Genomic DNA, 23,210 nt, shown 5'->3' with positions numbered 1-23,210 from the left:
ATGGGAAAAGGATTCCCTATTTAATAAATGGTTCTGGGAAAACTGGCTAGCCATAGGTAGAAAGCTGAAACTGGATCCCTTTCTTACACCCTATACAAAAATTAATTCAAGATGGATTAAAGACTTAAATGTTAGACCTAAAACCATCAAAACCCTAGAAGAAAACCTAGGCAATACCATTTAGGACATAGGCATGGGCAAGGAGTTAATGACTAAAGCACCAAAAGCAATGGCAGCAAAAGCCAAAATAGACAAATGGGATCTAATTAAACTAAGGAGCTTCTGCACAGCAAAAGAAACTATCATCAAAGTGAACAGGCAACCTACAGAAAGGGAGAAAATTTTTGCAATGTACCCATCTGACAAAGAGCTAATATCCAGAATCTACAAAGAACTTAAGCCAATTTACAAGAAAAAATCAAACAACCCCATCAAAAAGTGGGCAAAAGATATGAGCAGATGCTTTTCAAAAGAAGACATTTATGCAGCCAACAGAGACGTGAAAAAATGCTCATTGTCACTGGTCATCAGAGAAATGCAAATCAAAACCACAATGAGACACCATCTCACACCAGTTAGAATGGTGATCATTAAAAAGTCAGGAAACAACAGGTGCTGGAGAGGATGTGGAGAAATAGGAATGCTTTTACACTGTTGATGGGACTGTAAACTAGTTCAACCATTGTGGAAGACAGTGTGGCAATTCCTCAAGGATCTAGAATTAGAAATACCATTTGACCCAACAATCCCATTACTGGGTATACACCCAAAGGATTATAAATCATGCTACTATAAAGACACATGCACACGTATGTTTATTGTGGCACTATTCACAGTAGCAAAGACTTGGAACCAACCCAAATGTCCATCAATGATAGACTGGATTAAGAAAATGTGGCACATATACACCATGGAATACTATGCAGCCATAAAAAAGGATGAGTTCATGTCCTTTGTAGCAACATGGATGAAGCTGGAAACCATCATTCTGAGAAAACTATCACAAGGACAGAAAACCAAACACTGCATGTTCTCACTCATAGGTGGGAATTGAACAATAAGAACACTTGGACACAGGGCAGGGAAGATCACACACCGGGGCCTACTGTGGGGTGGGAGGATAGGGGAGGGATAGCATTAGGAGAAATACCTAATGTAAATGACGAGTTAATGGGTACAGCAAACCAACATGGCACATGTATACATATGTAACAAACTTGCACGTTGTGCACATGTACCCTAGAACTTAAAGTATAATATATATATTATTTTACTTATAAAAATTAAATTACTTTTACAAGTGCCTTGATTTTACATATTTTACGTTTTATTCACTTAATTTGTTATATGAATACAAATAACTACACTGTATATTTTTAAAATACATAACCTAATTTTGTTATGCATTCCATATCCTTCAACTTTTTGGTTTCTGGGTCACAAAATAAAGGCATATTTCAGGTGCTGTCCCATGAGGTTACCACTGCCACAGATGGCTTTTTATCTGCAGCGGACATCCTAAGCAGAGAGTCCACAGGTCAACCAAATGCTGCATTACAACCTGGCTCAACACAGCAGTGAGGCACTTGAAGCCATGTTTGCATAGTATGTGTTCCTTGTAGTCAGGCAGTTTGTTGTCATAGTAGTAAATTTCATCTGACAATCTAAGAACAATATTTGCTCCCCCGTATTTTGCTGATTGGCACATGGAATAGCCCCCAAAATTTGGATAAACATTATAGGAGCTAAGAGGAAACAGTCAGTACTGATGGAATGTTTCACAGGGCAGATGGGCTTTTGAGGATACTTTTTTTTTTACATATATGTACATTAAGTTCTGGGATACATGTGCAGAACATGCAGGTTTGTTACATAGGGATACACATTCCATGGTGGTTTGTTGCATCCACCAACCTGTCATCTACATTAGGTATTTCTCCTAATGCTATCCCTCCCCCAGCCCCCACCCTCCGACAATCCCCAGTGTGTGATGTTCCCCTCCCTGTGTCCAAGTGTTCTCATTGTTCAACTCCCACTTATGAGTGAGAAAATGTGGTGTTTGGTTTTCTGTTCCTGTGTTACTTTGCTGAGAATGATGGTTTCCAGCTTCATCCATGTCCCTGCAAAGGACATGATCTCATCCTTTTTTATGGCTGCATAGTCTTCCATGGTGTACATGTGACACATTTTCTTTATCCAGTCTATCACTGATGGGCATTTGGGTTGGTTCCAAGTCTTTGCTATTGTGAATAGCACTGCAATAAACATATGTGTGCATGTGTCTTTACAGTAGAATGATTTATGTTTCTTTGGGTATATGCCCAGTAATGGATTTGCTGGGTCAAATGGTATTTCTAGTTCTAGATCCTTGAGGAATCGCCACATGGTCTTCCACAATGGTTGAATTAATTTACACTCCCACCAACAGTGTAAAAGCATTCCTATTTCTCCACATCCTCTCCAGCATCTGTTGTTTCCTGACTTTTTAATGATCACCATTCTAACTGGCGTGGTATCTCATTGTGGATGGTATCTCATTGTGGTTTTGATTTGCATTTCTCTAATGACCAGTGCTGATGAGCTTTTTTTCATGTTTTTTGGCTGCATAAATGTCTTCCTTTGAGAAGTGTCTGTTGATATCGTTCGCCCACTTTTTGATGGTGTTGTTTGTTTGTTTCTTGTAAATTCCTTTAAGTTCTTTGTAGATTCTGGATATTAGCCCTTTGTCAGATGGGTACATTGCAAAAATTTTCTCCCTTTCTGTAGGTTGCCTGTTCACTTTGATGATAGTTTCTTTTGCTGTGCAGAAGCTCCTTAGTTTAATTAGATCTCATTTGTCTATTTTGGCTTTTGTTGCCATTGCTTTTGGTGCTTTAGTCATTAACTCCTTGCCCATGCCTATGTCCTAAATGGTATGCCTAGGTTTTCTTTTAGGGTTTTGATGGTTTTAGGTCTAACATTTAAGTCTTTAATCCATCTTGAATTAATTTTTATATAAGGTGTAAGAAAGGGATCCAGTTTCAGCTTTCTACATATGGCTACCCAGTTTTCCCAGAACCATTTATTAAATAGGGAATCCTTTTCCCATGACTTGTTTTTGTGAGGTTTGTCAAAGATCATATGGTCGTAGATGTGTGGTGTTATTTCTGAGGTCTCTTCTGTTCCATTGGTCTCTATGTCTGTTTTGGTACCAGTACCATGCTGCTTTGGTTCTGTAGCCTTGTAGAATAGTTTGAAGTCAGGTAGTGTGATGCCTCCAGCTTTGTTCTTTTTGCTTAGGATTGTCTAGGCTATACTTTTAATAATGATTTATGGAAGCTCTATCATGGGTCAGGTGTGTGTTCAGCTCTAGGGAATACCAGGAGGAAGAAGACATACCCCTAACTTCAAAGAGCTCAGCAGGATTATCATTATCTTACCTACAAAATCTAGCACTCTGATTGGCACATAATAGGTGCTCAATAAGTCTTTGCTGAATCAGTGGAAGGTCTGCTTACTATTACAAAAGCATTGCTACAAACATAGTCATAAACACACAGGAGCTCCAAGCTGGAGAGGCAGAGTAAACAAAAGGATCAGGCATGAATGAAATGAGGGGGGATAATAATAAGTGTAGCTGGGATTAGACAATATGGAAGAGAAATGTGATGTGAAAAATAAAATCTTAAAATGGAAGATGTAGGCTGGGCTCCACACGCCTGTAATCCAAGCACTTTGGGAGGCTAACCCGGGTGGATAACCTGAGGCCAGGAGTTCAAGACCAGCCTGGTCAGCATGGCAAAACCCCATGTCTACTAAAAATACAAAAATTAGCCGGGCATGATGGTGCATGCCTGTAATCCCAGCTACTCAGGAGGCTGAAGCAGGATAATTGTTTGACCCCGGGAGGCGGAGGTTGCAGTGAGCTGAGATCGTGCCACTGCACTCTAGCCTGGGCAACAGAGTGAAACTCTGTCTCAGAAATAAATAAATAAATAAATGGAAGATGTAAGTTAATTTTATAAGAAAGGAAAGAAGAAGTTAACGAAGACAAGAAAACTAAAAATTTTCCAATATTTACTTGGAAATTGAAAACTTTGACATCACTGATAAATATGCAATATTGTATTAATTTAAACAGAAGATAAATTTTAAAACACATTTTGGAGACTTTAATTATGACTAGCCATGAAAAAAATCAGCAATGTTTTAAAACTTCCATTTTTTTCAACCACTTAAGTTTCTATGCTAAATAATTATAGATTGTTAATCTTTGTTTTCCCATAGTAATCCTTAAATAGTTTTTGAAATTAGTCTTTTAACTTAAGGAAAGAATGTTGTTTCATAGATATGGTGATGGGAATTGTCAAAAATAAAATTAATAAAGAGCACACTTTAAGAAAAACTAGCACTCACATAATTTGTAACTATCCCAGAAAGTTCTTAATGTTTTTCAATTTTACTTTGAATAAAAGTACACAGAGCAATAACTAGTAATGATTTGCATAAGTCTACTGAGAATACTTTTTGATTCTTCAAAAAGAATCCCTTTGAATTAATAGAACTGGAATCAGAAATACAAGCAAGTCATCAATTTGACTTTGCCAGTGAAGTCGGCCAAGGTCCAGAGAGCAACTGGAAATCTGACAAAGCAGAGAGTGCAAAAATTTGACATTTCAGATCTCAGTTGCATTTTGGCTATGGGAGTTTTTTTGAATTGAAAAGCATGACAAATCTTAAAAGGATAATTTCTTAAAAGGACAATCTTATAATATCTATGTGAGATATAGGCATTGTTAACAAATATATTAATATATGATTCTCACCAAGATTTCTTCATTCTTATAGCTAAAATGTAGCCTACTATCTAAGAGTTTTCTGTTGCTAAGACAGCTCTTAACCTTTGTCACTGCCAATAGAGACTTTTCTATTCTAAAAACCTGACCATGTTTAAAGCCCTCTCAGAGAAGTCCTGACTTCCCAATAAGATATATTTATGGCCACCAAGGTAGCTTGCACCCATAGTCCCAGCTCCTGGGGCGGCTAAGGCAAGAGGATTTCTTGAGGCCAGGAGTTTGGGATTGCAGTACACTATTATCACACCTGTGAATAGCCACAGCACTCCAGCCCGGGCAACATAGAGAGACCCCATCTCTTAAAAGAAAAAGATGTATTTATGCCTTCTTTACACATCAAAGTAATAGAAGCATAATACATTTTTTGAGAGACATACAATAATAAATGCATTTATGTAATTTTCAACATTTTTCACTAACAGAAACATTCTGAATTACAAAAGACAAATTTAACCTGCTTATTGATATTGTTTAGAGGTGAATGTTTACATTTTATTTGATAACATATAATTTGGCCCTCTAATTGCTTAGGCATTTAGACATTAGTTAGGTAAGTTTTACAGTGTCTCAAGCAACTCACAGAATAATATATTAATTTTTAAGATTATTGCAATGAAATATAGATTTATTTAAATATTTGGAACTTACCTACTCTATTCTTGCTAAAGCTTGGGACAAACCAAAATAAATATGCCAGTAGCATAATACTGCTGCCAGATTGTTAAGAAAATCTGGCCAAATTTGATTCTATTCAAGACCAAATTTTTATTTTCAAAATATATAATGGGAACTCTCAAAATGACTAAAACTTTCTATACACACAGGCCCCTTATAGCCTATGGGTCCAAGTGTACCCAAGTTTTACTCTATTTAAAATCGATTTGGACCTATCACTTTATTTTGGAAATAAAGGGATTAATTTCCTTAGAACCAATAAGAGTAGAACCTACAACAACTCTCCCATTGGAAGCAATGCAAGTATTTTCCAAAATACTGGAAAGAGACTACTAGAAGATGACAATGTTCTGAAGATGTAAAGCAAAGATGTCTTGAAGAAGAAAGACAAGATGTTGTGGTCCCAGAAAGTAGTTAGGTTCAAATAATTTAAAAAGCGATAATAAGAGTAGGGCATAGGCAGATTTGGCTCAGAGGGGTTGAGGGAGAAGACAGACTGATAATTATTAAACCGTGGCAAGTAATTAGAAAAGGTCCAAGTAAAATTCTCTCTGTCTGATGTTGATACTGAACAGAGCACTTATGCTTTGCCTGAGCCTACTGTGGAAATCAACTGAACTTAGCAGTTGCTAAGGGGAAAATTCTGGGCAGAAGCCAAACAAGTCCGTGTAGTCTCAGTAAATTGTACCCAAAAAAAGGAATGTGCTCCTACACAGGTAGCCAACAATTATTCTTATCTTTAGATGTGCATGCCAATCTTCTCTTCAAGAAGGAGAATCTATTTCCCCTCTTCTCAGCTCTGATCTGGACTTATGACTTATTTTGGCCAAGAGGATGCAGCAGAAGTGATAGACACTGTGCCTGTTCTGAGCTGAGACTTTAAGAACCCTTTTGGAAACCAGTTGTCATGTTTGAAGGAAGCCAGCTTAGACTGCTCAAGGAAGAGATCTACCTGGAAGAGGACCGAGGTGCTCCAGCCACTCAAACCACCCCAGCTGAGCCACCAGATGTATAAGGGGGGTCTTTTTCAATCTTCTAGACCCAGCCCAGCCACCAACTAATTATATTTGTGTGACCCCAGTTGATACAGCATGGAGCAGAAGACCTGCCAGTCAACCTGTAAGAGAAATAGCAAATCATAAGCCACTAATTTTCAAGGTACTTATACAGCAATAGATAATTACAATTTAAGCAAATCCAAAGGAAATGTAACAAGAGCAGAGACTAGTAGCTGAAGAATAATAGATGAATTTTAAAGGAACTATTTTTTTTAAAGTAACATGAAGTGACAAATGCTAGGGTAGACAACAGAAGAATGGCAATAGAAAATGGCCAAGAAAGCCAATTAATGAGTCTGGGAGGCTGATGACTGAACGTCTAGAATCATTAAACCAAAAACTATCTTTTTGGTTTAACTTGGAACATAGGAGAAAAATTAATTGTTGTGATAAAAGAAAATTGGTCATTTTCAGTAATAGTAAAAGAGCTTACTGCATTCCAATTTGAATATGACTAGGGCAGCTGAACAAAAGTTAAAAATCTCTTTAGAGAAATCAGGAAGCTACCAAAGCAGTCAATACTTCAGGAGCCGTGATCCCAGAGAGAAAAGAAGCTTGTTGACATGACCTCAACAATCTGCGGAAGTCTGATGCATTTGATGATTTCTAAGCTACAGCTACATAGGATTGAGACACTAAGAAACCAAGAAGAAGTTAATGTCTAAAAGCTGGAATCCTAAACAGTGTTCAACAATCTTACTACTGAAAAATTAGAGTTCAGGGCCCTCCCAGAAGGAAGACTACTAGTAAATTTCTTATACTTCCAGTCAAGACTTCAGAAAGACTATAGTCTGAGAATAAATGTGAACTACAATTAGACTTAATTTTACCAAGTACTGAAACCATCTCTGAGTCAACTCAACCTCAGGTTGAACTGTGGTGAACTTCTCTTAATCTAATTGCTAATTAGAAAGGGGGGAAAATCCTCCCTGGAGGAAGGTAACATCTATGAAAGCCTCAAATTATTTATACAATTTTTCAAACACAATGTCTGGCACTCAATTTAAAAACTACAAGGTATGCCTGGAAAAGACAAAATATCTGGCATATAATAGAGAAAACAGACAATGGAAGCAGTCCTATAGGTGATCCAGATATTACAGTTATTACTTGTGGTCTTGGAAATCATTGTAAATATATCTAAGAAAATAAATGACAAGATGGAAAATTTCACTAGAGAACTAGCATCTACAAAAAAAATTACATCTAAGTAAAAAGTCTGTAAATAGGCACTACAATAACAAAAAAATTAAAATCCAATAGATGGGGTTAACTCCAATTTAGACATAGCAAAAGAAAAAATTAGAAATCAGAAGGAAGTTTTATAGAATATATCCACTAAAGCATGGGGAGAAAAAAAATGAAAAAAAGCCACTGTAAAAAGTGTAAACATATAGGCTAGAATGAAAAGATCTAACATATACATAGCCTATAAAAAGTTTGAAAACCAAGAATAGAAGACATCATAGATTATACCTTACCAAAGATGGTCATATAGTCTTTAGTATGGTACTTCTCCTGTTGAGAGTTGAAATCTAATTCCTCTCTCCTTGGATTTGGGCTGGTCTTAGTGACTTTCTTGAGCAGTAGAAAATGGTAGAAGTGACATTCCAGGACTTCTAATCTTGGTCATAAGTCTTGAAGCTTCCACTCAAGCTTCTTCAAACACTATGTTTGCTAGTCTTGAGCTATAATGTAAAAATTCAACTAACCTGAAATCACCATACTGGAGAAGCCATTATGTAGCCACCATGGTGAATAGCCCCAGCTGAGCCAGACTTCTAGTGATCCCTGCCAAGGGGACATGTAAGAGAAGCCATCCACCAGCTGAATACCTCAAAGTGACCTCTCTTCGCACCATATGAAATCCCCAAATTTCCCAGGGTTATGTTCATTATTAATGTAGCAGTTGATGAAGAGTCAAGGACATCTTGTACTTAAATGGTATGGGGTGAGAAATGTTACCAATCATTTTCAGATTAGTGAAAGAGGATCTGAGATATCATAAACTGCTGAAATTACACAGAGCATCTCCTATCTAGTTAGTTCACTAGAACAGGGGTCAGCAAACATTTACCGCAAAGTCTCAGATAGAATATACTTTAGGCTTTATAGGCCAAGCCTATACCTACTATATATATATAGTAGGTACTTACATAACAGAGAAAATAAACTGCCATTAAAATTTTATTGAAAGTATTTTAATTAAATATTAATAATAGAGTATAATATTTTGTAACACAGGTCTACTAATGAGAAGAATGGAATTCTTTTGGGGGTGATAGCATTTAGTTTAATTGGGGTTCCAAATTAGTTTGCCCTATCATCAAATAAATTGGACATGTTCAACTATAAAAACAATTCTTAGCTCATAGGCCATACAAAAATAGGCATCCGACCAGATTTGGCCCACAGGCTGCGGTTTGCTAACCCCTGTACTGTAATCTAAAAAAAGCAAATTGAGTAGCTTTCCTTGAAGCTCCTCTGCAATTAGGTAAACACACAAGGTTAGTGTTGTTTTTGTTTTATATGCTCTTCTGTTGGCTTTGCACAGAGCAGGGAAGATCCACAAATATTTGCTGGGTGCCTTTATGTGATTACTGAGACATATGAGTAACGATGTGGTTTGGCTGTGCCACCACCCAAATCTCATTTTGAACTGTAGCTCCCACAGTTCCGTGTTGTGGGAGGGACCCAGTGGGAGGTAATTGAATCATGGGGGCAGGTCTTTCCCATGCTATTCTCATGATGGTGACTACGTCTTATGAGATATGATGGTTTTATAAAGGGGAGTTTCCCTGCACAAGCTCTCTTTTCTTGTGTACCGCCATGTGAGACAGGTCTTTCACCTCCTGCCATGTTTGTGAGGCCTCCCCAGCCAAGTAGAACTGTGAGTCCATTAAACCTGTTTCTTTTGTACATTGCCCAGTCTCGGGTATGTCTTTACCAGCAGCATGAAGAAGGACTAATACAACTAAAGTGATAAGAAACTGCCCTTCAGGTTTCTCTTCCCTTTTTTCTACATCTCTTGACTTCACTTAAGATCCGCTTTAGAAAGCCTCCCCATCTCTCTGGCACAGAATCACAAAATTGGCCCTATCTGCTAAATATATCTGGGCCTTGAGACTCTGGGTTACTCATCCTCTCTCTGTAAAATCTCCCCTATTTAAGTTTAAGCATCTTCATTGTCAAGAACATTTTTTCCAACCTCACTCACTCAAGTTATGATATAAATTGCTTTCAATTTAACTAACGTAGAAGTTGGTTACTGGTCTGCAAGTATCCCCTCTGTACTTTATGGATGGTCCTATACAGCCTTTTTCATCTCTTCCTCTAAGTGTGTGACAATGTCTGCTTGAATACAGGGAGTGTTTGCTAAGAAACACATTGTTGTGCTAGATCTAAGACAAAAACCAACACCATCAATGAAAATAGTTACATGGTATCATTATTTTCACCTGTGATTAGCTATGGGGTTTTTGTTAAAATCCAACAGACTGTATCTGAAAAACAATGTGATCTGAGGTGAATCAACGTTCTTAGAAAAATTCCAGTAACTCCTACTAAAAATTGCACACTACCATTAAATAAATTCACATGTTGCTAACAAAAACACACAGTTTAGATAATTGAATTCAGTTACTCTACAATGGAAACAGTACTATTTTGGAAAAGACAGAATTTTAACTGTCATTACTAGGCATGCTCCCATTCTCCCATTTTATTTCTTTGTATGAAAACATTTATTTTGAAATTGTCTATAGGCACAATTTGTCTGAAATGATAGATAATGAGAAATGCATAAGATATGTAATTAGCAGATACTTGCACAAAAAAAGAATAACCTAAAACTGGAATTTCTTCATTATTTTTCTGTGCCTAGAAAATCAAAGATCATATTCATCTTTTCTTCAAACTCTCTTACATGGTGTTTTGTTACTTTTATATTTTCTTATAATGAATGAGTTATCTTAAATGACCATCTTATCTTGCTCAGTCCTTTGTCCACATATTTCCATCTACAGCATTAGAGCACTAGAATTTGGCCCAATGATGGGCCAAAGTATGTTGATTAAATTACTAACTCCTATGAGTTCCCACCAACTTGAACATTTTCATTTTTGTTCATAAGGACATGAAAGGATTGCTGTGAACATTGTCTGCTTTCCTAACAGAATTACATTTTGACCTCTGATAATTGAACCTAAACTTTAGGGTGGGACTTTTCTCTGGAATATGTTAATTAGGACCCCAAGGAACTTAGCATATTTTGCTTATCTAACATATCCAATATGTCATTCTCTTTCTCCTGGAACAGATTCTCTTATAGAAACCATAACTTTTTTTTTTGTCTCAACAAAGATGCATTAAGCCTAGGCATGCCAGTTCCTAAAAGTATAGTAAATGTCATTGTGCAAACTTAGTTACTTCAAAAGGGCAGAATCATCAGAAGGCTCATAGCTGTTGGCTTTGTTTGTCACCTGAGAATGGAATTGAACAACTGCACCAAAGAATTTCTGTACTTGGTTCTAAGTGCTTTTCATGAAGACATAAATGTGTTCCATCATTTTATTTACTGTTTCTATATGTCTTCATCAGGATTCCTCCATTTGTCACCGTACATTCTGGGAAGGATAGCTCATTCTTGGATTATCAGTAACCACACATGGCAAGTATGTCATTGTTAATCAGTTGATTTGTGAGTGAATTCTACTATTAGCAATATCTAGAGTAGCTCACTCTTCTCTGAATTTTCCCAAAGCACACACTTAGCATGTGTTATGGGCTGAACTGTGTTCTCCCCCAATTTTTATATTGAAATCTCAACCCCCTTACCTTGGAATGTGATTGTATTTGGAGATGCGATCCTCATGGAGGTAATTAAGTTTGAATGAGGTCATGAGGGTGGGTTGTAACCCAATATGGCTGGTATCCTTATAAGAAGAGGAGAATAGGGCCGGGCACAGTGGCTCAAGCCTGTAATCCAGCACTTTGGGAGGCCGAGGCGGGCAGATCACCTGAGGTCAGGAGTTCAAGACCAGCCTGGCCAACATGGTGAAACCCCATCTCTACTAAAAACACAAAAATTAGCTGGGCATGGTGGCACATGGTTGTAATCCCAGCTACTCAGGAGCCTGAGGCAGGAGAATCGCTTGAACCCAGGAGGTGAAGGTTGCAGTGAGCTGAGATTGCGCCATTGCACTCCAGCCTGGGGGAAAAGAGCAAGACTTCATCTCAAAAAAAAAAAAAAAGTAGGACACAGGCACAAAGGGAAGACCAAGTAAAAACAAAGGAGGAAACACATTATAAGCAAAGGAGAGACAGAGCTTAGAAGAAATCAATCCTGTGAACCCAAAATATCTGAGACAGGTCTCAACCAATTTATCAAGTTTATTTTGTCACGGTTAAGGACACGCATGTGACACAACCTCAGGAGGTCCTGACAATGTGCTAAGGTGGTCAGGGTACAGCTTGCTTTTACACATTTTAGAGAGACAAGAGACATCAATCAATATGTGTAAGATGTAAATTGGTTCGGTCCCATAAGGTGCAACAACTTGAAGCAGAGATTTCCAGGTCATAGGTAGATAAGAGAGAAGAAGTTGCATTCTTTTGAGTCCTTGGTCAGCCTTCCACTGAATACACAATTTAGTCTGGCTCAGTGATTCTGCATTTTTACATAAACAATAGGGTAGAGGAAGAAATCAGATAGATGTGCATTTGTTTCAGGTAAGCAGAGGGGTGACTTTATGTCCTGCATCGGTGGAGATAAGCTATCCGTTTACATTGCCAGGGTGAAATTCAGCAGAACTGCGTTAGGGCAAAAATCTTGAGCCCCATGAAGAATTCCTTATAGGAAAATTGTGAGGGAAGTATGGAGCTCTTTTACCTTTTTAGCTATCTTATCTAGGAATAAAATAGGAGGCAGGTTTGCCTGAGGTAGTTCCCAGCTTGACTTTTCCCTTGGCTTGGTGATTTTGGGGGGTCCTAAGATTTATTTTCCTTTCACAACACCTTGATCTTGGACTTCTAGCTTCCAGAATTGTGGGAAAATAAATTACTGTTGTCTGAGCCCCCCAGTCTGTGGTACTTTATTATGCAGCCGTAGCTAGCTAATACAGTATGCCAACCCAGGCAACAGTTATTTATGCAATAGTATAGCTTCTAGAGGTCAACCTTATGAGATCCTTGGAATTAAAGTCCATGTCCTAAACATTTCTGTGTCCTCTGCAACATACTCTTTTGCACATAATAGATGTTTAATAAGTATAAACTGAACAAATTAATTTTAAAATACAGAAATAGTACAATATTTGTCTACAAGAATATTTTTAAGCAAGCTTTGAAATACATTTTTTAAAAATACATTTAATTTTTAAATACAATATTAAGGAAAAGGACTTGTAAGTATTATGATATTCTACTACGAATAATACCTAACATGGTATTATGATCTTGAAAGAGCTTTTATATATATGGTAATTGGATGAGTTCCCTACTGCTGCTATAACAAGTTACCATAAATAGAGTAACTTGAAATAACACAAATTACTCTCCTACAGTTGTGGAGGTCAGAAGTCTAAAATCCAGGTCTTATCGGGACTGCTGCCTCCCAGAGGCTCAGGGAAGAATCTGTTTCCTTCGCTTTTCCAGTTGGTAGAAGCTGCCTACATTCCGTAGCTCCTGGCCCCTTTCCCATCTTCAAAGGACATCCCTCCAACCTCTGGTTTTGTCATCACATCTTCTTTTTTTGACTTTGATCCTCCTGACTTCTGCTTATAAAGAACCTTGTGATGACGTTAAGCCTATCTGGATAATCTCCTCATCTCTAAACCCTTAACTTAACCATAGCTGCTAATCCCTTTTACCATAAAAAGTAATATACTCACAGATCCCAGTGATTAGGACCATGGACATCTTTGGAGGACCATTCATCAGACTACCACATTTTGGGCAAGCTCTGGGTTAGTCATGCTGTAACAGAAGCAAGTGAAGAGGCTAAAGCCGCCCTGGAGACTGCCCAGAAAAGGAAGTAGAGAAGAGAACCTGCTCCAAGGTGAGTATAAGTAAAAGCAGATAGGCAGGCAGAGGGTCAGTGTTTAAAAGGCATATCAAGCTCAGGAGTGGTCCCAGAAAATGAAAGTAAAACTTGTTCCCTGTTCCTGTCAAGCCCACCACCCTGGTAAATTAACTTTTAATTTATTTAGTAGGATGGAGAAATGGAAAGTATATGCCTGCTAAATTTGAAAATTAATTCCATTCAAACGATGAATTCTGGCAATCATTCCAGGTCCATGTCCTAAAAAGTACTTAACCTTTACAGAGATATCATATTAAAACATAATTTAATGGTCAACAGGTATATGAGAAATACTCAACATCCCTAATAATCAGGGAAATGCAAATCAAAACCACAGTGAGATATCATTAAATATTAGTAAATTAGTATAGCCATTATGGAAAACAGTATGGCAATTACTCAAAAAAACAAAAAACAGAACTATTATATAATCCAGCAACCCCACCATTGGATATTTATCCAAAGGAAAAGAAATCAGTATACCAAAGGGATACCTCCACTCGCATGCTTATCACAGCTCTGTTTACAATAGCAAAGATATGGAATCAACCTAAGTATCCATCAATGGACAAATAGATATAGGAAATATAGTATATATACACCACAATGGAATACTATTCAGCCATGAAAAGAATGAAATCATGTCACTTGCAGCAACATGGGTGGAACTGGAGGTCATTATGTTAAGTGAAATGATCCAGGCACAGAAAGACACACATCACATTTTCTCACACACATGTGGGAGCTAAAAAAGTTGATCACATAGAGATAGAGAGTAGAATGATGATTACCAGAGGCTGGGAAGAATGTGTCTGTGGTGGGAAGGGGGTAACAAAGACAGGTTGGTTAAAGAGTACAAACATACAGCTAGATAGAATAAGTTCTAATGTTCAACAGCAGAGTAGTGTGACTATAGTTAACAATGTATTGTATATTTCAAAATAACTAGAAGAGAGCACTTAAAATGTTCCTAGCTCTTGGAAATGATAAACATTGGAGGTGACAAGCACCCCAAAAACCCTGACTTGATCATTACACAGTCTATGCACATAACAAAATATCACATCTACCCCCATAAATATGTACAATGTGTATTAATTTTAAAATGTCAAAAAAAAAAAAAAAGGCTGAGCATGATGGCTCACATCTGCAATCTCAGCATTTTGGGAGGCCAAGGTGGGAGGTTTATGTGAGCCCAGGAGTTCAAGATCAGCTTGGGCAACACAGTGAGACCCCCTAATCTGTACAAAATCTTTATTTTTAATTTCAAAATAATTAGATATATAATAGCTTAATCACTTCAATAGCACTGCTGAGAAAGTGACACCATTAAATTTCAGATATATATATAATGATTATACCTCAGTAGGAAGTACAGACTATAAAGTTTAATAACTTATTCTGAGATTATGATCAACTAGGTACTCTGAGTAGGAATTTTACAGAAGTATAAACACAAATAAGCAAAAACCAAAGAAATTTTGGTTTGGAAAATAAATGGTGAATTTGATTGTTTTGTTTTGTTTTGATTTTTTGCCAGAATTTTTCAGATGTATTATCTACTTTGCCTAATTAGTCCAACCTTATAGCTGCATGAAGTGGACATACTTTATGACTCTCTTTAATCTTTCTACCAGTATCTATTGTTAAAGCAAACTAAATATAGCCTGAGAAGGACTCCATACTTCTATATTTGAGTCCTTGTAGATGAACTGTAATGTAGCTTAATAGTCAGACAAGATTGAAAACCTAATTTAGGAGTATGCACCTGTAATAATAGCTGTGGCCAATCCCAGCAGCCATACTTCAACCACTCATAGGCTGCTAAGTGTTCAAACTGTGTTCAAATAAGGCAAATGCCAACCTGTAACCAGTCCAGCCGTTGCTGTACCTCGTTGCTGATTTTTGTATGTCATTTCCCTCTTTTTGTTCTATAAATCTTCTCCCACCACATGGCTGCACTGGAGTCTCTGTGAATCTGCTGCGATTCTGGGGGCTGCCTGATTCGTGAATCATTCATTGTTCAAGCAAACTCCTTTAAATTTAATTTGGCTGAAATTTTTTCTTTTATCACTATTTACCAACTAACCATAGAGTTTTAAGATTTTCCTAAATATAAAACTAAATTATTTTTATGACAGCAAAAGTTAAAACTACTAAAATTATGCAAAGTTTCACACACACACGAACGTGTGTCATGCCATGAAAATATTCAAAACATACAAAAGCATTTGAATAATTTTGAAACCTCTAAAACATAACATGTTACAGGGACCTAGGGAAAGCTTCCCTTTAGCTTTCCAAAGGTTCACTTAAAATCAACTGACAAAAGGCAGATTAATAGGAGGAAGGCATACAAATTTATTTGATCATAGTTTTATATGTGACACAGGATCCTTCAGGATGAAGACCCAAAGATATAGAGCAAACTGTCCATGTTCATGCTTTGGTTCAGCAAAGTATGGTCAGGCTTGTAGAAATATGACTGGACAAAGAAGGCATGGTCTAAAACAAACAGACTGAGCGGGGAAGCCCGGCAAGGCCTGTCTGTCTGGATTCTTCTTGGCCTCTGTGCAGCATTCCTTCCTTCTGGGTATGGGACAGGACCCTCTCTAGAATGGGGGCTCTTGCAATCTACAATCAAACAAGGTAGGTCAGATAATTTCTTTATGACAAGTTTTTACACAGAAAGGTGGAGGTAAAGTTAAAGTAATATTTTTAGGTTTTTATGGCTGGCTTTGGGATAAAGGGTTCTGGTTTTCTATGACCCACCTTGGAGGAGGGATTCTAGTTTCTATGGCTAGCCTCAAGGGAGTATGAGGGGGCCAGAGACAGGAGGACCAGAGAAAGTCAGAGAAAAACTTTTGCTTCCATGCTGCTCTGAGACCTTCATTTTGGTGTATTATATTCTGACCCCCAACAATGTACATCACACATCACAACTGTTTTTAGTCACTATAGTTCATATGTCTGAGTAAATAGATGCATTCAGTATTCTCTGTCACTGGGTAGAGTAGCAAATAGGAGTTCATCTAACAGTTTAAACTTTTTACTAGCTCTGTAACTATAGGCAAATCACGTAACTTCGCTGAGCCTCAGTTTCCTTCTCTGAAAAATGAAAGAACTAAATTAGAGGATTGCATAAGTTGCTTCTTACTCTCAGATTCTACAATTTTTAAGTCTGTGGGTCCACTTTACCCACATGGTAAAACCCCACTATGGTGAATTTCAGATCAGTTTTGTAATTTTTAGTCAAATGAAATGTTAGGAAGTCACATATTATTAGAATTAAGGACCTAGAAATAAAACAGCTGAGAGAGAGAGAGATTAAGTGAAAAAAAGCACTGGCACATGTAAATTTCTTGCACTTTTTTTATTTCAATAGGTTTTTGGGGAACAGGTGGTGTTTGGTTACATGAATAAGTTCTTTAGTGGTGATTTCTGTGATTTGGGTGCACCCATCACCCGAGCAGTGTACACTATACCCAATGTACAGCATAGTCTTTTATCTCTCAGCACCTCCCATCCTTTCCCCCAAGTCCTCAGAGTCTATTGTATCATTCTTATGCCTTTGTATCCTCGTAGCTTAGCTCCAACTTATAAGTGAAAACATACGATGCTTGGTTTTCCATTCCTGAGTTACTTCACTTAGAATAATAATCTCCAATTCCATCCAGGTCACTGCGAATGCCATTATTTCATTCCTCCTTATAGCTGAGCAGTATTCCATAGTGTATATATAACACAATTCCTTTATCCACTCATTGTTTGATGGGCATTTGGGCTGGTTCCATACCTTTGCAATTGAGAATCGTGCTGCTATAAACATAGGTGTGCAAGTATGTTTTTCGTATAATGACTTGTTTTCCTCTGGGTAGATACCCAGTAGTGGGATTGCTGGATCAAATAATTTTTTTCAAAAAAAGGAACATCCATACCTCTATGTAACAAAAGCCATCTATGACACACCCACAGCCAACATAATACTGAATGCAGAAAAGTTGAAAGCATTCCCCCTGATAACTGGAACAAGACAGGAATGCCCACTCTCATTACTTCTATTCAACATAGTACTAGAAGTCCTAACCAGAGCAATCAGACAAGAGAAAGAAAGAAAGAGCATCCAAATCAGTAAAGAGGAAGTCAAACTGTCACTGTTTGCTGTTGATATGATCGTGTACCTAGAAAACCCTAAAGACTCCTCCAAAAAGCTCCTAGAACTAATAAATGAATTCAGCAAAGTTTCAGGATACAAAATTAATGTACACAAATCAGTAGCTCTGCTATACTCCAGTAGCAACCAAGCTGAGAATCAAATCAAGAACTCAACCCCTTTTACAATAGTTTCAAAAATAAAATAAAATAAAATACTTAGAAATATACCTAACCAAGGAGGTGAAAGACCTCTCTACAATGAAAACTACAAAACACTGCTGAAAGAAATCATAGATGACACAAAGGAATGGAAACACATCTCATGCTCATAAATGAGTAGAATCAATAGTGTGAAGATGACCATACTGCCAAAAGCAATCTACAAATTTAATGCAATTCCCATCAAAATACCACCATCATTTGTCACAGAACTAAAAAAAAAAAGTCCTAAAATTAATATGGAACCAAAAAAAGAGCCCGCATAGCCAAAGCAAGGCTAAGCAAAAATAACAAATCTGGAGGCATCACATTACCTGATTTCAAACTATACTATAAGGCCATAGTCACCAAAACAGCGTGGTACTGGTATAAAAATAGGCACATAGACCTGTGGAACAGAATAGAGAGCCCAGAAAGAAACCCAAATGCTTACAGCCAACTTATTTTTGACAAAGCAAACAAAAACATAAGACACCCTATTCAACAAATGGTGCTGGGATAATTGGCAAGCCATATGTAGGAGAATGAAACTAGATCCTCACCTCTCGCCTTATACAAAAATCAACTCAAGATGGATCAAGGACTTAAATCTAAGATCTGAAACTATAAAAATTCTAGAAGATACCATCGGAAAAAACCCTTCTAGGCATTGGCTTAGGCAAGGATTTCATGACAAAGAACCCAAAAGCAAATGCAATAAAAACAAAGATAAATAGGTGGGACTTAATTAAACTAAAGAGCTTTTGCAAAGCAAAAGGAACAGTCAGCAGAGTAAACAGACAACTCACAGGGTGAGAGAAAATCTTCACAATCTATACATCCGACAAGGGACTAATATCCAGAATCTACAATGAACACAAACAAATGAGCAAGAAAAAAAAATCCCATCAAAAAGTGGGTTAAGAATATGAATAGACAGTTCTCAAAAGAAGATATACAAATGGCCAACAAACATATGAAAAGATGCTCAACAGCACTAATGATCAGGGAAATGCAAATCAAAACCACAATATGATACCACCTTACCCCTGCAAGAATGGCCATAGTCAAAAAATCAAAAATAATAGATGTTGGTGGAGATGTGGTGAAAAGGGAACACTTCTACACTTCTGGTGGGAATGTAAACTAGTACAACCACTATGGAAAACAGTATGTAGACTCCTTAAGGAACTAAAAGTAGAACTACCATTTGATCCAGCAATCTCATTACTGGCTATTTACCCAGAGGAAAAGAAGTCTTTATATGAAAAAGATACTTGCACATGCATGTTTATAGCAGCATAATTTGCAATTGAAAAAATGTGGAACCAACCCAAATGTCCACCAATCAATAAGTGGATAAAGAAACGGTGGTATATATACACAATGGAATACAACTCAGCCATAAAAAAGAAATGAATTAACAGCATTTACAGCAACCTGGCTGGGATTGAAGACTACTATTCTAAGTGAAGTAACTCAGGAATGGAAAACCAAACATTGAATGCTCTCACGCATAAATGGAAGCTAAGCTATGAGGATGCAAATGCATAAGAATGACAAAATGGACTTTGGGGACACAGGGGGAAAGGGTGGGAGGGGGTGAGGAATAAAGACTACAAATTGGGTTCAGTGTACACTGCTTGGGTGACGGGTGCACCAAAGTCTCACAAATCATGGCTAAAGAACTTATGTAACCAAATACCACCTGTTCCCCCAAAACCTATGGAAATAAAATATTTTAAAACAGTAGTATTCATAATAATTTTACCCTTAAAATAAAATAAATAAAAAAGAAACATCAATTTCCTTCTCTCAACCCATTCTTCCACAAGCTCCTATATGCTTCCCGCGTGATCCTGTTGTGGAGGTTGCAAATTCAAGTGTATTTTCCAGGAGTTGTTGAAATATAAATTAAGCAAGGAAACAAACAAACAAAAAAACCAGAAGCTAATTGTTGTCCTTGGCAAAAGAATTATAGAACTGCATACAGGTGTGATCTCAGAGCTGCAATGCAAACAGCACATAAACAAGCTATTTGACAATGTCTAGCAAAGACCAAGAAGAGCATTTCTATAAGAAGATTCAGAGTATAGGGCCAGCAGAGGGCTGTGGGCCAATAAGAAAACCATTACAAAGCAGAGTTTGCTTTAAGAAAGTTATTTCTCTGCAGAGAAATAACTAATGGCCCACAGCAGGGGCAGAGAAGTAACTTTGTTACAGCAAACTCTTCTTTTTTAATGGTTTTCTTATACTTGCACATTTAACCACGAATGTCCCCTTACCTGACCGAGGCTTACCTGGCCTGTCCACCTGCAGTGGTCACCCCCACCACCCACTGGCTCTGTGTGGAAAAGGCCAAGACATTTTTGCAGAGAAGAACAGATGGGTGCATATGGCCGTAGGCAGTTCCGTCTTCCCAGAAGAACCAGCTTGTTCTGGCAGAAGGGTTTGGAAAATGAACTGAAGGAACCACTCTGTTCAGACAAAGCAAAAACATCACCATTTCTCCTTTTGTATGCATAATTGGAAGCTACATGTCTTAATCCTGTTGATTAAAAAAAGCTGGTAAACAGAGTGTGTTGTTTTTCTGGGACCAGCTGAGAATAATTTCATTAGATCTCATAGTTAATAAACTGGGTTGTAGGGGATTGAGGTGGGAGGAGGTAATCTTGTTTCACTAAAGAATATTTTAAGTGAAGCAAATTTGGTCAGAGATGCTATTAAAACCCTTTCAAAAACAAAATATCCTCAGCCCACTAGCCCAGTTTGACCCATGAGAAAGACAATGGTTTTAGAGACAAAACAAAAGCAAAATGTATGCAATTACCTTATTATTTTTATCAAATCTAAGCTGCTTAGACCGCCATGGTTTGCTTTTTTCCCTCTCCATATCAGGTACATATTGTGGGAAACGTGGGTAGTTTACCAAAAGGCATACTAGGAAGTATGCAGTTGTTCAGGAAAAATCACATTCTCTAGTGAGCTCCGAATAAGAAAGTGTCCTTCCTAACTCCTTTACTTATTTGCTTTTCCAGTTCGTTACTCAGCACTTCATCACTGACCTCAGGGATGAGGTTGGCTTGTTTGCAAATGGACAGATGTCCCTCATTTGACCTGGTATGCCTGTTACAAGAAAGGCTAGAGAATATGAGACCAAAAGAACATAGGGGATCAATCTTGAGTGCAGCTCCTCAGAATCTGCTTAAGGCAAGCTAGTGGACAGGCGGAAGTCCAAGTTGACAAACACTTTGAGTTCTGCTGTACCCTAGAACGGTGGGTCTGGGAGGGCAGCTGATGTCATAACACCCAAATGTGAAGCAGAAAGCAAATGTATATAATGTGGGGTACAGTTCTTTCATGGTCTGGCTTGCCCCAATGGTAAAGCTATAGCATACATAGCTATGAATATTAGATATTCATATACGTTAATATTATTCCTTTAGGCCAGGTTTTAAATATTAAATAGTAAAATGTATTCATTTTGTTCTTCTAAATGGAGTTTTTGAAAATGATTAAGTAGTAGGATCTTCAGGGTTAAAATTTGGGTAAGAAACCTGGTGTGGCTAGTCTATGGGTCTAACTAGTGGCAGATCAATAGGCTTTCAAATACACTGAAACTAAAGATTATTTTCTAAGAGTGTTGAAGAGCTAAACTAGGACTCCTGGTTACCAGGCATCTGCATGAAGGGAGCAATAAAGCATTGTCATTGTGAGGTCAGATCTCAAGCTACCAGCTAGGCATCACAATATTGGCGTAGCATATTACTTAAACAGAAAAGACAGAGTCCTAGTAATACTATATTTTTATGTTTCTCTAAAATAGATTAAACAATACTACACTTTTTATTTTTCTCTAAAGCAGATTAAAATGTCTCTGCTGTTATTTCATTCTGATTGTGTGTGTGTGTGCGTGCGCGTGCGTGAGAGAGAGAGAGAAATGGAGCAAATTGAGCCCAGCAAAAGCAAGTGTCTTGATCAGCAAGGTAACAGATTGAATTTAATACACTGGAGTTTCTTCATTCTAAAATTTCTCTACAAGATGCCTAAGCAACTAGGCAAATCAGTTAAAATCCGTGATTGATATCAAGGAGGGCAAACCACAAACAGATTGAATTTTCACTTCCCACCAGACACATGCTTCTGCTTAAAAAAGCTACCAGTAAATCATATCAATTATCACATGTGAAAACTGGTACTCATGTTGCAATTTCAAAATTTCTTCTAAAGATAAGCCATTCAGCAACAAGATCTGCAAATTTTCTGATACTAAAAGATGGGAAAAATTATATTTTCTTCCATACAACACGAGACAGAAATCACTTAAACTCAAAAAAGACAGGTCTGTGATGCAATCAGATTATCTTAATTGTATAAGCCAAATGTTTTTCTGTTGCATTATAGAAGCAAAACAGCAGGACTATTGCTTTTGCATGTTCATAGGTCAATATCAGCTCCTTAGGGATGCTGATGTGAGCATGTAATAACTTTAAAATCAGAAAAGTTGTTCAATCTTCTACCGAAGGAGAAAAAGTAATGACATTTTGAACATATCTTCTCTACCATACCAGGTCAGCCCTCAGATATATTTTGAATTGTATTTAAAATTGTTTTCCACAAAAGTTTATATGGAGCATTCTATATGATAGAGTCATACAATTTTAAAAAGTCAAGGTAATAGCATACTAATGAGCTTTAAAGCTTCAAACAGACAAAGGTATTTCCTATTTAATGCAGGAAAGCTTTGGTTGACATTGTACTTGCTCTCATGAAATGTTATAACAGATACTCCACTGAATTCATTTTGTCAACATACAATTTATCTCTACTTTGATAAACACGAGCTTTCTCAGCTGTGCTGCTCGAGCAAAAGGTCCAATTTTCAAAAAGATTTCACAGTATTGTAGCAGATGTTTTAACAATTGTTTCTGTATAAACAAATAAAAAGTCAGCATGCCCCAGAGAGAGGTATCCCACATGAAATTAATATCCTTTGTGTGACACTGCCTACCCTATGTTGAGCTGTTGGTTATGCACATTAGCTGGTGTGCCCAGGGGTCTGGAAGGAGCTCAAGGGTGAGACATGGCTTGGCCACAATCAAAAATTTTCCCAATAACTGTTTACAGCAATGATGAAGCTGGCTTCAGAGCAGACCCTGTGTGGATTGCCTCATGCTTATGAGCAGATCTTTGTAAACAGGAACCAAA

General features: G+C 37.4%; 1 protein-coding gene and 1 long non-coding RNA gene across 2 annotated transcripts in view, besides 1 other annotated feature; both read right to left on the bottom strand.

Annotated features, from left to right (window-relative positions):
* Positions 1-11,497, bottom strand: part of LOC124903186 (uncharacterized) — a 35,583-nt gene extending 24,086 nt beyond the window's left edge. The window contains exon 1 of the long non-coding RNA XR_007063828.1: positions 11,405-11,497. This is a non-coding gene — a long non-coding RNA (uncharacterized LOC124903186). The remainder of the gene's footprint in view (positions 1-11,404) is intronic.
* Positions 9,281-9,490: an enhancer, noted in NCBI's record as "active region_7844". NCBI's record gives its function as "activates an Ori minimal core promoter by ATAC-STARR-seq in GM12878 lymphoblastoid cells {active_cell/tissue: GM12878}" and the evidence as "EXISTENCE:reporter gene assay evidence [ECO:0000049][PMID:35858748]".
* A 4,493-nt stretch (positions 11,498-15,990) lies between the features above and the next one.
* On the bottom strand, positions 15,991-21,452 carry LOC124903185 (uncharacterized). Its single transcript, XM_047430828.1, has 3 exons — positions 20,833-21,452; positions 20,303-20,479; positions 15,991-16,283 (listed from the first exon to the last, which is right to left on the bottom strand). Exons 1-3 carry the CDS (start codon positions 20,893-20,895, stop codon positions 16,155-16,157), a joined length of 369 nt encoding a protein of 122 aa, XP_047286784.1. The 5' UTR covers positions 20,896-21,452; the 3' UTR covers positions 15,991-16,154.
* Positions 21,453-23,210: the final 1,758 nt, after the last annotated feature.

The sequence above is a fragment of the Homo sapiens genome, chromosome 13 (assembly GCF_000001405.40).
Source record: "Homo sapiens chromosome 13, GRCh38.p14 Primary Assembly".
Classification (NCBI taxonomy): Eukaryota; Metazoa; Chordata; class Mammalia; order Primates; family Hominidae; genus Homo; species Homo sapiens.
This window is presented reverse-complemented; position numbering and strand designations above follow the sequence as displayed.